General features: G+C 50.4%; 1 protein-coding gene across 1 annotated transcript in view; it reads right to left on the minus strand.

The window, feature by feature from the left end:
- Window positions 1-14,610, minus strand: part of GCN1 (GCN1 activator of EIF2AK4) — a 67,514-nt gene that overhangs the window by 8,329 nt on the left and 44,575 nt on the right. The window contains exons 35-51 of the mRNA NM_006836.2: window positions 14,392-14,513; window positions 14,076-14,190; window positions 12,637-12,816; window positions 11,522-11,742; window positions 9,732-9,800; window positions 9,393-9,531; window positions 9,109-9,305; window positions 8,776-8,918; window positions 7,294-7,411; window positions 6,977-7,192; window positions 5,329-5,493; window positions 3,165-3,326; window positions 2,793-2,885; window positions 2,371-2,514; window positions 2,015-2,284; window positions 1,676-1,789; window positions 972-1,202 (exon numbers count right to left, since the gene is read on the minus strand). Coding sequence (NP_006827.1) covers window positions 972-1,202; window positions 1,676-1,789; window positions 2,015-2,284; window positions 2,371-2,514; window positions 2,793-2,885; window positions 3,165-3,326; window positions 5,329-5,493; window positions 6,977-7,192; window positions 7,294-7,411; window positions 8,776-8,918; window positions 9,109-9,305; window positions 9,393-9,531; window positions 9,732-9,800; window positions 11,522-11,742; window positions 12,637-12,816; window positions 14,076-14,190; window positions 14,392-14,513 — 2,699 coding nt within the window. The remainder of the gene's footprint in view (window positions 1-971; window positions 1,203-1,675; window positions 1,790-2,014; window positions 2,285-2,370; window positions 2,515-2,792; window positions 2,886-3,164; window positions 3,327-5,328; window positions 5,494-6,976; window positions 7,193-7,293; window positions 7,412-8,775; window positions 8,919-9,108; window positions 9,306-9,392; window positions 9,532-9,731; window positions 9,801-11,521; window positions 11,743-12,636; window positions 12,817-14,075; window positions 14,191-14,391; window positions 14,514-14,610) is intronic.

The raw sequence follows: 14,610 nt of genomic DNA on the forward strand, positions 1-14,610 counted from the left end.
TTTTGTATTTTCAGTAGAGACAGGGTTTCTCCATGTTGGTCAGGCTGGTCTCGAACTCCCGACCTCAGGTAATCTGCCCACCTCGGCCTCCCAAAGTGCTGGGATTACAGGCTTGAGCCACCACGCCCGGCTTACTTATTGTTAATTAGGAAAACCAGAGTGACTGTTTGGAGGTTCAGTGCCAATGAAGGTCTGGAAATACTGGAGTTGGGTGGGTGTGCAGGCTGTGGCAGGCACACAAAGGGGATAGGGGGAGCTGGTAAATCTGAGCTGTGCGAGGTCAGGAGTTCGAGACCAGCCTGGTGAAACCCTGTCTCTACTAAAAATACAAAAAAATTAGCCAGGTGTAGTGGCAGACACCTGTAATCCCAGCTACTTGGGAGGCTGAGGCAGAAGAATTGCTTGAACCCAGGAGGCGGAGGTTGCAGTGAGCCGAGATCGCGCCACTGCACTCCAGCTCTGGGTGACAGAGTTAGACTCTGTCTCAAAAACAAAACAAAACAAAACAAAAAACAAAAAAAAACAAAAACTGCAATATCTTTAAACAATGTTTTCCTTGTATTTACGTGGTCCTGAATTTTTTCCTTTGAAAAAGTAGTTTTTCAAAATAATAGCATTTCACATGTACTGAGTGCTTAGTATGTAGCAGGCATCATGCTGGACATAACCTCATCTAATCCCCATATCTAGCAGCCCTTCATGAGGCAGCTGGTATTATTAGTCTCACATTGTAGGTGAGGAAACAGGCTTAGGTTATATGGCTTTCCCAAGGTCATCCTGGTCACAGAGCTAGTAAGGACGACTTGGAATTGACCCATGGTGTAGCATGTCTGAAGTCCAAGGTCTTACCTCCCTCTGCTATGCGGCTCTCCACAATAAATCTGTTGCCCTGCTGCTACATGACACCTTGTATCAGGCTCCTGCAGACAGACCTGTTCTCTAAGATCTGAACAAACTCATCAGCCACTCACCTTAGCCAACAAGAGGCTGAGTGTCTCGAGCAGAGCCGCCTTCACATTCCAGCTGAACCTGTCCCCCAGGATGCGGATCAGAGGGCCAGTGATGCTGACCACGGAGGGCCTCAGGGCGTCAGCCGAGGTCAGGCGGATTACCAAGCCTAAGGCTTTGGCTGCCTCCTCCTTCTGCTCAGGGCTGCCAGTCAGGACTCCTTCCCGCAACACTGGAAGGATGGAGGTCACTCCCTGACAAGAGAACCACAACTGAGAGTCAAATCTCAAACACCCTGGGCCCTGGTGTCTCCCATGCAAGCAAAGTGGTCCTGACAGCTGTCCTCCCCTCAACTCCATGGGAGATATTGATTTGGGCTGAATCTCAGGATCACAGCCTGAGAGGGCTGGCTATGGAACGGTCTTGGCAGAGAAAAGACGACAAGGGCCCCAACAGGCCTATCACACAGAGAGAACATGCACTGCTGTTACCCTGTGGCCCACTCACTCTGGCCAAGGTGACCTGCAGAGCTTAAACCAAAGGCAGCATGAACCCTGTCCCCATCTGACTGCCATGGAAGAAAACATGCTGTCTGCGAAGGTGCTGAACACCAACCACCACGGCTACTGCTCCAGCAGCCCCTACCGCAGACCTGGGACAGGGGTAAGGGCCAGAAGGGCACAACAGACTGCACGCCCACAGCCCCCTGCACGAGGCCCTGGCTTACCTTCTTCGGGAGGCAGAATCCTGGCACATGCTCGCCTTTGCTCTCGTTCCCTATGAGCCGGATTTCCTTGTGCAGCTCTTCAATGAGTGCCAACTGGTTGCCAGCATCCAGCTTCTGCAGGAATCCAGGAAAAAGCGAGAGGATGTACAGCCCTCTCAAGACTGCTTCCAAAGAATATATGGGGAAAGCGTGGGCGGGAGTATAAACAAGACTTGCCACGAGTGGGTAAACGCCGAAGCTGAGTGACAGGTACGTGGGGGATTCTTATAAGTCTATTCCTGTAAATGTCTGGAATTTTCTAAAAGCAAAAGTTGGCTGTGGGGTCAGCAGTCCCCTCACCTTAGTGATGGCATTTAGGGCATCCCAGCTCTCCTCCAGAACCACAGGGCTGGAGTCATTGAAGAGGCGGATCAGGCCCGAGACCAGGCTCCGCAGGTGGCTGGTGTAGTCAGCCTTTGAGCGGGAACAGTAGATGTTGAGGATGATGGCAGCAGCTTGCCTCATGCCCACCTCAGGGCTGCGGGTGGCCTCCAGCAGATCCTCGATGATGATCCGGTGCCCTGTGTCATCCTCTACGGAGAGGATCACAGCCTGACAATTGGCCATCTCCTGCAAACCACAAGGGACATGTGTGCTGAGCAGGGATCCTCCGGGCAGACGGGACATGAGAAAGCAGGAGCAGGCTCGCCCCTTACCAGCTGCTCATCTGGGGTCCCAAGCTTTTCCTTCAGGGCCAGCATGACCGCTGGGAGGATCACGCCAAGATGACGGGTGAGGGCATCACCAGCCACTGACGAAAGGAAAGCCAGCACCCGGGTGTTGACAGGTGGCGTTGTCAGCTGGTGGAATGACAAACATTAACTCAGTGAATACTGTGCCAGGTGCTGCGCTAGGCTCTGGGAACAGACGGGTGGGCAAGAGAGCCCAAGCCCACTGCTCAGAGCCAAGCATCTACTCCAGCATATCTTGGAAGACAACAGGGGAAGGATGTAATGCTTGCACTGCACCCTCCTCCCCCAGCCCTCCAACATCTACGTTCAGAACTGGTCTTCACTGCAGGCCCTGGAAATGTCAATGCCCTGGAGCCAGAGGGTGTTGACCACATGTTGGGATTTACCTTGGGCACAAGGTAGGGCAGCACCACACGACTCTTAATAGCCATGACTTGCTTCAGACCATCCAAGGCAAACTCTGACACCTCCTCGTCATCCTGCAGAGGGTGTTGGGGACAACCCTGAGGAATCTGCATCTCTGCTGTCTCAACCAGCCACCGCCAACTTCCTTCTCCACTTGTTTCCCTCCCTCCTGTTGCACCCACATTTCCTCACTGCCGAAGGCGAAGCACAAAGCCAAGTCTGATCTTGCTATACCCACTCCCTCTGGAGGGCCCACATTGCGACTGCCTTGGCAGAATAATCGCCCTGTATTTTCCATCTACAAAGACGGCAAAAGCCAAACTGGTAGGTAGGTGTGTGGTAGATCCACTCACCAGCTGCTTTAGTAAAAATGGGAGAATGTCCTCCAGAGCCTGGTGGCCGATGGTGGAATGCAGCTGCTCGAAAGTCTTGGCTGCCGCCTCTCTGACCTCCTCCAGTGGGTCACACAAAGCCTTCCTTGCCGTGGGCACGAGGGATTCAGAGAAATACAGCACCTGCAATGGCAAGCTACAACTGTACCAGATGCAGGAAAGGCAAAGAAGGAGCAGAAGCAGACAAGAAGCACAGGCAGGGGACTCTGACCCAGCTAGGCCACCCTAACTCTCTTTGCCTGACTTGTCTTTTAACTTAACTCTTTACTGTGAAATAAAAAAAAGGAGAGAAGGGGCCGGGCACGGTGGCTCACACCTGTAATCCCAGCACTTTGGGAGGCCAAGGTGGGCGGATGACTTGAGGCCAGGAGTTCGAGACCAGCCTGGTCAACATGGCAAAACCCTATCTCTACTAAAAATACAAAAATTAGCTGGGTGTGGTGGTGCACACCTGTAATCCCAGCTACACAGGAGGCTGAGGCACAAGAATCGCTTGAACCCAGGAAGCAGAGGCTGTAGCCAAAAGAGATGGTGCCCCTGTACTCCTGCCTGGGCAGCAGAGTGAGATTGTCTTAAACTAAAAATTTTAAAAAAATTAAAAAGTAGAGAGGGGCCGCGCACAGTGGCTCACGCCTGTAATCCCAACACTTTGGGAGGTGGAGGCAAGAGAATCACTTGAGGCCAGGAGTTTGAGACCAGCCTGGGCAACATAGTGAGACCTCACCTCTACTAAAAATGCAAAAATTAGCTACGTGTGGTGGTGCACACCTATAGTCCCCAGCTACTCAGGAGGCCATAGCGAGAGGATCACTTGAGCCCAGAAGGTCAAGGTTACAATGAGCTATGATCGCACCACTGCACTCCAGCCTGGGTGACAGAGTAAGACCCCGTCTCAATAAAAAAAAAAAGCAGAGAGGATGTGATGCACCCCCATGTATCCTTCACTGAGACTTAATAATCAACAGCTTGAATCTTTTAGGTGAATTCTCAATATACCTCCCATCTTCTCTAAGAACTGCAAACTCCTTCCCATGGCATCTGGCCCCCTCTCTCCCTGGACTCTTTCTTTTGCTTATTCTCTTGGAAAACTCCAAGTCCTTCTTCAAGTCTCAATCCAGACTTTGTGCTCTATGAAGTCTTTGGGTCTACAATGGAGCCAATAATGGCTCTGCTCCCTCAGTAACGATCCCAGCACAGCAAAGCCCACTCTGCATTCTAATGACTGGTTGGCATGTGGGCCTTGCCATTGGACTGTGGGGACTTTGCAGACAAGAACTCAGCCTCTGTGGAACTCTACCTCTCCAATGAATCACAACTCTTTCTGATGACAGAATTTCTTTTGATTCCTTGCCAAATGTAAATTTTAAAAACCAAACGTAAGACAAACATCAATATAGGAGAAGAGGGATCTGGTATCCTAGGAATTCAGACAAGGATGCCCAAGCCAAGCAACTGGCCACTTGCTTACATTTCTAGCGGGCCATCCACTTAATTGCTTTGGCGTTTTCATCCAAACACGAAGGCAGTGCCTAAAAGCACTCCTAACCTACTCCCCAGGGTGGTCTCCAGGATCATTTAACTCAGGAACCAAGTAAGAGTAATGGACTTCACACCCCTTGAACGTTGCTGCTATGGAAACAGTATTGTTGCCAGACGCAATATGCTTCCTCCCACCTGGCACCACAACTCTTACCTGCTCCCCTCCTGCTAAGGGTGAGTGCACACCCCCTCCCGCACCCTCCTGCCCTACCCACTCACACAGCTGTCCATCCCCTTTCCCAGAAGGAGGTGCACACATTTTAACTGGACTTATATAGCATCACAAAAGAGACTGATCCTGAGCAACCTCCACAGTTGTAAGAGAGCGATCATCTCCAGTTTCCAAAGGCCACTCAAGGAGGCATCCAAATCACTTAGCTCTTAGCCTGCAAAACTGACAGGAAAGCTGAGAAGACGGAGCCTCAAGTCCATGTGGCCCAGCCAGCACCTCCCCAGAGTGAGACTGGCTCATCCCTGAGGGCAGCACAAACCCCCTAGAGGTGAACCTCCTTCAGTAGCCCTCCCCCGCCCTCTGAGTCAGGTCGTCTGCAGTGCACAGCTGGCGGGATCCTTGGAAGATACTCACGGCATCCCGGCTGGTGGACTTCATGATCTCACTTAGGCCAATGCACACACCCTGCCTCTCATCGCTCTTCTGAGACCTCAGGCCTTCCTCAAGGATGGGGATGATCTCGGGGAGGATTTTCTCCCCTAACTTCCGCACAAGATCTCCCAATGTTCTCGCTGCAATCTGTCAACAGAGACCAATCCAGGAAGTAAAGTCCCTGCAAAGCCCAGGGCACCCAGAGGAGGACTCCAGAATGAGGGCCCTGAAACCTCCCAGGCTTTATCTGAATCACTGACTTAACTTCCCCAAATGCTCTTACCCCTAAAGAGCCCCCAAATACTCTCTGTAGTGCTTGCAAAACACTACCAAAAAATTATCTGTTTCACACACACCTACACAACCTAACATTAAGAGCCAGCAGCACCTTACACATGTACAAAAAATTCATCATCTGCTGCACAGTCAAGGGCCAATTTCCCTGGATGACTGAAGCCTTAACACTGTGCTATGGCTGAGCAGGAGCCGAATCTGGAACAAAGCTTTAAGGAAAAAAAAACATCTACTTTCTGAGACCTCATGCAAACCCTTCTTTAGAGCCAAATACACAATTTGCTTGCCAAGGATGGGGGGTTGGAAGTAGACCAAAGGAGATGGGCAGAAATGATCACCAGCCCATCTGGGCACCTCCTCCAGGCCCACTGATCTGTCTGCCCCTGCCAGCGCGCCAGCCTGATCTCATGCCGCACTGCTCCTCCCTGCCTCCTCACTCCAGCCACACTGGCCTTGCTCAGCCCCTACTGGTGCTATGTTCCTGCCCACCACGGGACCTCTGCATATCCTGTCTTTGTATCTGAAACATTATTTATTCCCTCTGTCTGGAATGGTCTTTCGCCACCTCCTCACCTGGTTAGTGCTTACTTATCTTTCATCTTCCAGCATCATTTCTTCTGAGAAGTGTTCACTAACACAGGCCCATCCCTCCCCAGCAGGTCAAATGCAGCTATTATAAGCATTTGCAGTGCCATGCAGCACTGGCCACAGTCGCATTTTACATCTCTTTGTGTGGTTATTTGATTAATATCCATCTCCTCGACTAGACTACCTCTCATGAGGATAAGGAATGAAGCTGCCTTTCTTCTCCATTGTGTCCCCAGGTGCTAGGCCCCTGCTTAGTGCACAGGAGATGCTAATAAATATTTGCAGAGGCCAGGCGTGGTGGCTCAAGCCTGTAATCCCAGCACTTTGGGAGGCCGAGACGGGCGCATCACGAGGTCAGGAGATCGAGACCGTCCTGGCTAACGTGCTGAAACCCCGTCTCTACTAAAAATATAAAAAAATGGCCAGGTGTGGTGGTGGATGCCTGTAGTCCCAGCTACTCGGGAGGCTGAGGCAGGAGAATGGCATGAACCTAGGAGGCGGAGCTTGCAGTGAGCTGAGATCACGCCACTGCACTTCAGCCTGGGCGACAGAGCAAGACTCCACCTCAAAAAAATAAATAAAATAAAATTAATCAAAAAATATTTGCAGAATGACTAAGTAAAGAACACAATGTCCCTCTGTTAGGCAGGGTGGATGGGTACTTTCCCAGGCTCTGCAGACCCAGCCTTCTAGGCTCTGAAAGGAGGCACTGGGGCTGCTGGTCCAAAACAAGGCCCAGGAAACTCACCGTTCTCTTATCTGCACACGTGCTGGCCAGGAAACCCAGCAGGAGCCCAAAGAGAGTGGGTAGGATCTCACGCAAGGTGCGGGGGGTATTGGAGACAACAATCTTCCAGACATGCAGGGACGCCTGCCGCACCACCAGCTGGGTGTCTGAGCGGCCCATGTACAGCCCTGCCAACACCCGGTTCCGCCGCTCTACCCCCAGGGCAGTGATGATCGCCTGCAGCCAGTAGAAGGGGACAGAGAGTAGTGAAGCCTCTATGGCATGGGCATCAGGGCACACCCTACCATCAGCAGGGGCAGGAAAGCCACTGCAGGCACCTTGTTGGACTGGGCAGTTCCAAAGTTATCATCCTCAGAGGCAGTTTCTGTGGTCATCTTCCCAGTGACTCCTGAGATGTGAAACAGGAGATCCCCAAGGAGCTGAACAGAGCTGAACCTGAGAAGGAGGCCAACAACACAGTCACACAGCTGCAAGGAGTGGGCTCGGCACAACTGAGCACTGCACAGAAGATGGAAAGAAGTGCACCCAAAATACTCATGACGGTCATCTTGGAATGGGAAGAGTCAGGTGGTTTACATTTCTTTACACTCGCCCACATATTTTCCAAGTTTTCTACTAATGAACATACATTAATGTTGAGGGAAAAAAACTTTTTAAAAACATGTAAAAATTTCTATAACAAAAGTTATAAAAAATAAAGTGAGTACAAAAGGGGAAGCATTAACAGGCAAGTAGGAAGACTGATCATCAGAAGTGGAGGAACCAGGAGAGGCCTTAAAGGATAAACTATTTCAGGCCAGGTGTGGTGGCTCACGCCTGTAATCTCAGCACTTTGGGAGGCCAAGGCAGGCGGATCACCTGAGGTCGGGGGTTCGAGACCAGCCTGACCAACATGGAGAAACCACGCCTCTACTAAAAATACAAAATTAGCCAGGCGTGCTGGCAGGTGCCTGTAATCCCAGCTACTCGGAAGGCTGAGGCAGGAGAATTGCTTGAACCCGGGAGGCAGAGGTTGCGGTGAGCCGAGATCATGCCACTGCACTCCAGCCTGGGTGACAGAGCGAGACTCCGTCTCAAAAAGGAAAAAAAAAAAAAAAAGACCACTGTATGAATGTGCTATATTTTTAAATCAACCTCCAATTTTTCAAATGGTAAGCAATACTGCAACAAACATCCTTATGTCTAACAGCTTTAAGCACTTGACCATTCCCTACATCCTTGAAATATATTCCCATAAGTAAAATTTTTAGATTAAAGAGTACTTGACACTTAAAATCTGAATACAAATTGGAAGCCTGTATAGAGAGGACTTTTTAAAAAAGAATCAGAATAAAGACATTGCTACAGGAAACTGGAAAAGTTACAAAATGGTTAAAAGCAAGGGTCTGGAAAAAGTTGAGAGAGTTCTTGGCAACATTCTGCTCTTCATTTCTCAACTGGAGTTATCAAAATGCAAAGTTCAACCCTTTGGATCTTTTTTTTTCTCCTAAGACAGCGTCTTGCTCTGTTGCCCAGGTTGGAGTGCAGTGGCACAATCTCGGCTCACTGCAACCTCTACCTCTGGGGCTCAAGTGATCCTTCCGCCTCAGCCTCCTGTGTAGCTGGGATTACAGGTGTGCACCACCATTCCCAGCTAATTTTTTATTTTTTATAGAGACAGGGTCTCACTATGTTGCCAGGGCTCATCGTAAACTCCTGGGTTTAAGCAATCCTCCTGCCTCGGCTTTCCAGAGTGCTCGGATTATAGGCATGAGCCACCACGCATCATCCCCACTGGGTCTTTCTGCCCAAGTTCTCACCTGATTCTCCAAAGGTCATCAAAGAGGCCTTGCTCTAGCTGGGGCAGCAGCAGGGCGATGGCTGTCTCAGCGTACATGGAGATAACCCGCTGGCCCGCGCGCAGGGCGGTGTCACGCACAAACTCATTCTCATCAGCAAGAGCCTGGGCACACAGAGGGTGGGTCAGCCAGAGCTGCCACCCCCAGGCCCCCAGCCCAAAAAACATGGGGCTCACTGAAGGCTGAGGGCTCTGCCAACCAACCCCAGCCAGCAGGGATCTCTAGCTCTCCAGGTGAGCACTTGCCTCCTGCCCTCCTCAAGGACTCTACCCTTGCCAAGGTCATGGTACCTACTTTGAGGATACAGGGGATGATGGGCCCCACATAAGGAGTAAACTTGTCTCCAAAGGTGATGGGCAGGTAGTTAAACATCATAATGTAGCCATCTCGGACATGGGGTGCAATGTCCACTTTGCTGGCTGTAGCCACGATTTCTGGCATCAACTTCTCCAACTTCTCCACCCCCAAACCGGCCATGACCTCAGCCAACCCTGCAACAAAGGACAGAATGAGTCCACTGGATCTGAGGGCCCCTTAGAGCATTCCCAGGCTGGCCACTGGACCTGCTCTGGCCTTACCCTGTGCAGCGCCTGAGCGATCCACAGAGCTCTGCTCATAGGTCAGTGTCTCCATCAGCCACGGCAGCAAGTCCTCAAAGCACGACTCCCCCATGCCCTTCACCATGGCCCCAAGGGCCTTTGCAGATACGGTCCGCACCTGTCAGGTAACCGAGAGCAGAGATGGTGTGAGAAGATGAGGCTCAAAACAAGGTAGCCACATGGGAGCAGGAAGGGGCACCGAGGGCCTCTTTCTCTTTACCCAACAGACACAAAAGCAGCTTTGGGGAATTCTCAGGAATCCATTTATGGGGACTGGATGAGGGGCCTGGCCCATCCCCCAGCCTACCTCAGACTCACCTCAGGCACAGGGTCCAAAAGCGATGCTTTCAGGCCAGGCGTCACGCTGGGCAGGTACGGAGCCAAGTCCTGCAACAACACAGGAGGCGGCTCAGGTGAGGCCCGACTCCTGCTTTCTCCAGGCCTGTTCCACTGTGGACCCTGACCTCCCCATTCTGCTGGCAAGGAGTGCTTGGCAGGGGCACCTAGCATGCAAACCTCACTGCCCACGGAACAGGGAGGGCAAGTAAGTCCCCTCTCCGACTGGTTCCTTCAAGGCCCTCTGCAATTGCTCAGGGACTCCTACAAGGGACCCCAGGCCCATCCTCAACAAACAGGAGTTCAATGCTCTTGCACCTCCCACCCTTCTCTTAGGACCAAGGCCTGTCCAGACTCTGGAATCTTTAGCAAATTACTTCTGGTAATTTCCTTTCAGAATTTTATTAACATCTTCCCTTTCTTCATCTCAAAATGTTTATGTCTTTTGATAGAGCATTCAGCTTTAGGGAATAATTTTAAATACAGAAAATGCCTTATGTTCACTGCAGCATCACTTAAAATAGCCAAAAACCTTGGACACTATATGACCAATGATAGAATTATATAAGTTATGGTATATAAACTTGTTGAGATATTATGTAACTATTAAAAATCAGTTTTGTGAATAACTTGTTATAACTTGGGAATAAGTTTTAAGTTTAGGAATGCCATTTTTAAATGTAATTTTAAAAATTAACAGTAATTGGCCGGGCACGGTGGTTCACGCCTATAATTCCAGCACTTTGGGAAGTCGAGGCGGGTGGATCACCTGAGGTCAGGAGTTCGAGACCAGCCTGGCCAACATGGTTTCACCCTGTCTCTACTAAAAATACAAAAATTAGCCAGGCATGGTGGTGGGCGGCTGTAATCCCAGCTACTCGGGAGGCTGAGGCAGGAGAATCGCTTGAACCCAGGCGGCAGAGGTTGCAGTGAGCCGAGACTGATTCAGTGCACTCCAGCCTGGCAACAGAGCAAGACTCCATCTCAAAAAAAAAAAAAAAAAAATTAACAGTAATTATTTTCGTGGTGGGGAACTGTAGATAAAATATTTTGGTTTTCTAATTTTTTTAATTAATTAATTTACTTTTTAAGACAGGGTCTTGCTCTGTCACCCCAGGCTGGAGTGCGGTGGTATTATCACGGCGGTATTATCACGGCTCACTGTATCCTCAACCTCCTGGGCTCAAGCTATCCTCCCATTTCAGCATCCCAAAGTCCTGGGATTACAAGCATTAGCCACCAAGCCTGGTCTGTTTTTCTGGTTTTTTAATTTCCCAAATTTTCTAGGATTAATATAACTTTTATATATTTTTTTTGCCCATAGCCTCAGTAAGCAAAGCAGAGCTATGGCAGACAGTGAGACCACACATGTGAGCTCCTAAGGCAGACAGTGAGATCACACATGCAAGCTCTTGGGAGCAAACAAACAAACAAACAAAATCTCCCAAACCAGGCTCTCCTGACAACAATACAGGAGTATTCTTGTCAAGAGCAAGTAGTCAAAGTGGCAAGCACTTCAACACTCTTGAGAGGTCAAAAGAGAAGACAGGCCTTTCTGGGCCTCAGCTGAGAACTAAGAAGGACTTGAACCACTGCGCTAAGATGCCCAGAGAGCCCGGATTTCCACCACAAAATGGCTCATTTCTCCCCATAAAAATAATTAGGGACTAACGTCCATAACTTTCCATGTCTAATGTGGGGACTCTGCACCTCTGACTCTGCACTCAAACATCTTCTGGTCTATCCCACACTAGCCTCAGCTGGGCCGCTACCTTCTGGTCTGTCAGGGAGTACATGTTGCCAATAATCTGGGCTGCCATCTTCCGCGTGTCCGTGGAACGGTCCTGGAAGGCTCTCTGGACAATGGGCATGATGAGGGCCAGGGATGGGGCATCAATGAAGTGGACAAACTTGGTGTCCAGCAGGGTCTGCAAGCACTTCTGGGTCTTCCTGGAGGGATCCGTCAGGGCATCCAGGAGGACTGGAGCAATGGCTGCACATCCAAAGAGAAGAGAGCTGGATGATATACATCTATGCAGCTGCAAGGCCCCTGGGCCCCCAGAACTAGAATGGATCAGAAGAGAAGGGAGTCTGGCACACCTCCTCCCTGAAACCCCACAAGTCACCAGCTGGGGAAGACAGGAAACCCACAAAGAGCAATCCTTGTTTCACTCCAACTCCTGACCTCAGGTGATCCGCCCGCCTCAGCCTCCCAAAGCGCTGGATTACAGGCATGAGCCACAGAAATAAAATTTTTGAAAAGCATGTATCCTTAGTAAATTTCTGGTTTGCCTATCGGTAATGGAGAAGTGTGTTGAAATCTCCCACTATGATATAATGTATTTGTTAACTTTTCCCTATAGCTTTATAAATTTTGTTTTATGTATTTTGAGGTTATTCCACTTTCCAGACTGAAGTACTGACTGGGCACTGGCAGCTGAAGCTTAGAATTTAACAAGTGACATGCTGGTCAAGGTGGCTGGCTGGGTTTTGTTCCTAGCGATCGACCTCTTCCCAGTACTTGAGAAAGAACCACATCCAGAGTAGTCAGGTTAATCCTAACCCTTCCTTAACCCTCCCCTCTATCAAAGGCCTCCTGGAATGAGATGGAATAGCAAGTTTTCACAGGTCCTAACATTTTGAATGGTGCTGATGTGGTCCAGATAATGTCATTCAGTTCTGTTGACCTCATGCTCAGCTTAGTGCACAGGGATCTCTTGGAGTCAAACTGCTCCTGAGCCAATGACTCAGTGTCCCTATTTCACTGTGAACATATTTGTCCTCGGAGGCAAAGATCTTAGCTGAATGGGTGCAAGTTCCCTGCAGTGTCCAAAGGCTGCGGCGTTGGTGGGAGGTCAGGGCAAGCACCCTCACGGGAAAGGCCTACCCAGGATCTCCGGGTTCCTGATAACGGAGCCGATCTGCCTGAGCGCCTGCTGTCCAGCCTTCTGGACTTTGACATGGGAGTCGGTCAGCACCTCCGTAAGCTTGGGCACAATGTTGGGTAGACAGGATGACAGCTGCTTAGGAGCACAGTACGCCATTGCCCCAAGAAGCTCCACTGACCCTGTGGATAGCAGACACAAGCCCAGTACTGAATCACTGAGCAAAGGCCAGCAACTCACCTGTGCTGGCTACATGAGCAAGGGACATCTACCCTGGCCCCTGCAGACGGTGCTCAAGCAGTCACTGGGAGGAGGGGAGAGGGGGCTGGCTCTAGCAGAGGGGTCGAAAAAGCTCTTGTGGCCTGCTGAACAGTGGGATCCCAGGTGAGAGGCAGGGCAGTATGGGAGAAAGAGACCAGGATAGGTAAGACCTGGTTTAATCCTTACAGTGAGATCCAAGGCCAATTCACTGAATTTCTCTGAACTGTTTCTTCATCCACAAATGAGGAAACTGATTTAGATTTGTGTTGTTTCAAACTACAGGGTGAAGCCTGAAGGACTGAGAAGGAGGTTGAGTGGGAGGGCCTTAGATGGTGATCCTCCCCCAACTAGAGCAGCTCTACTTTTATCTGTTTGCTTATTAGGGTGCCAGACATTTTATTTATTTATTTTTGAGACAGGGTCTCACGCTGCTGCCCAGGTTGGAGTGTGGTGGCAAGATTATAGCTCGCTGCAGCCCCAAACTCCAGGGCTCAAGTGATCCTTCCACTTCAGCCTCCTGAGTAGCTGGGACTACAGGCATGCACCACCACACTTGGCCTATTTTTTTTTTTTTTGGTAGAGGTAGGGTCTTGCTATATTGCCCAGGCTGGTCTAAATTCCTGCCCTCAAGAGATTCTCCTGCCTAAGGTTATTTTCAAAAAGAGCTTTCCTGGGGGGGGAAAACTTTAAAGCCAAAGAGGAGCTTTAGAGCTTTAGGATATCCTGACTTAGGGTTGTGGCTCTTGTCAGAGACCTGTTTCTTGGCATGAAAGCACATAAACTATAGAAAGATCCAACTGCCAGAGGGAGAGCTGGCCAGGCGTGGTGACTCACACCTGCAATCCCAGTGCTTTGGGAGGCCAAGGCAGGAGGGTCACTTGAACCCAGGAATTCAAGGCCAGTCTGGGCAACATAGCGAGACTCCATCATTACAAAAAAAAATACAAAAATTAGCCAGGTGTAGTGGCATGCTCCTGTGAGAATGGTTTGAGCCCCAAAGGTAAAGACCAGCCTGGGTGATAGAGCAAGACTCCATCTCAAATTTTTAAAAAGGCAGAGTCTTAACCCTATCCCTGGTCTGGGGAGCTCACAGGACAAGAGCTGTGGCTACCCAGGATCCTTGCTGAGGCTGGTTTTCATAACAGGAAGCTGGGAAGAGAGGCAGAGCGAGTGGTCTTACCAGCTTTGGTCCGCCACGATTCCTCCTCCAGGGCAGCCAGTAAGGAGGGGAGCACCAGCTTCACCCCGTGAGCACTCAAGTTGCTCATCACAGCCTTGGCACAGTCATCTGCAGCCTCAAGGGGGGAGAAAACACATTCAGGGGCCTCCTCACCCAAGCAAGGGGCAAGGCCTGACACCAGTCCTAGCGTTCCTCCTATAACCAACGCTTACTGGGGTTCTATTATGTCAGACCCTGTGCCAAGGCCTGCAGACACAGCTGGGAACACATCTCATAAAGTTTCCATGCTGTTCTCCCGAGCAGTCCGGGGACTTACCTCACGCACATACTGGTTTCCATCCCCAAAGCACAGGAGCAGATGGGGCAGCACGTGAACCACATACGGCTCAAAAAGTTTCCCCAGCATGGTGCAGAGCATCTCGAAGGCAAAGAGGGCTCCTAGGGGAAAAGAAGGTGGGACGGCTGGGAAGAGAATGTCCCCTGGGGGTAGCCACAGAGAACAGAAGGGACAGCAACCTCCCTGCCACCTCCCACC

This window comes from Homo sapiens, chromosome 12, assembly GCF_000001405.40.
Source record: "Homo sapiens chromosome 12, GRCh38.p14 Primary Assembly".
Taxonomy (NCBI): Eukaryota; Metazoa; Chordata; class Mammalia; order Primates; family Hominidae; genus Homo; species Homo sapiens.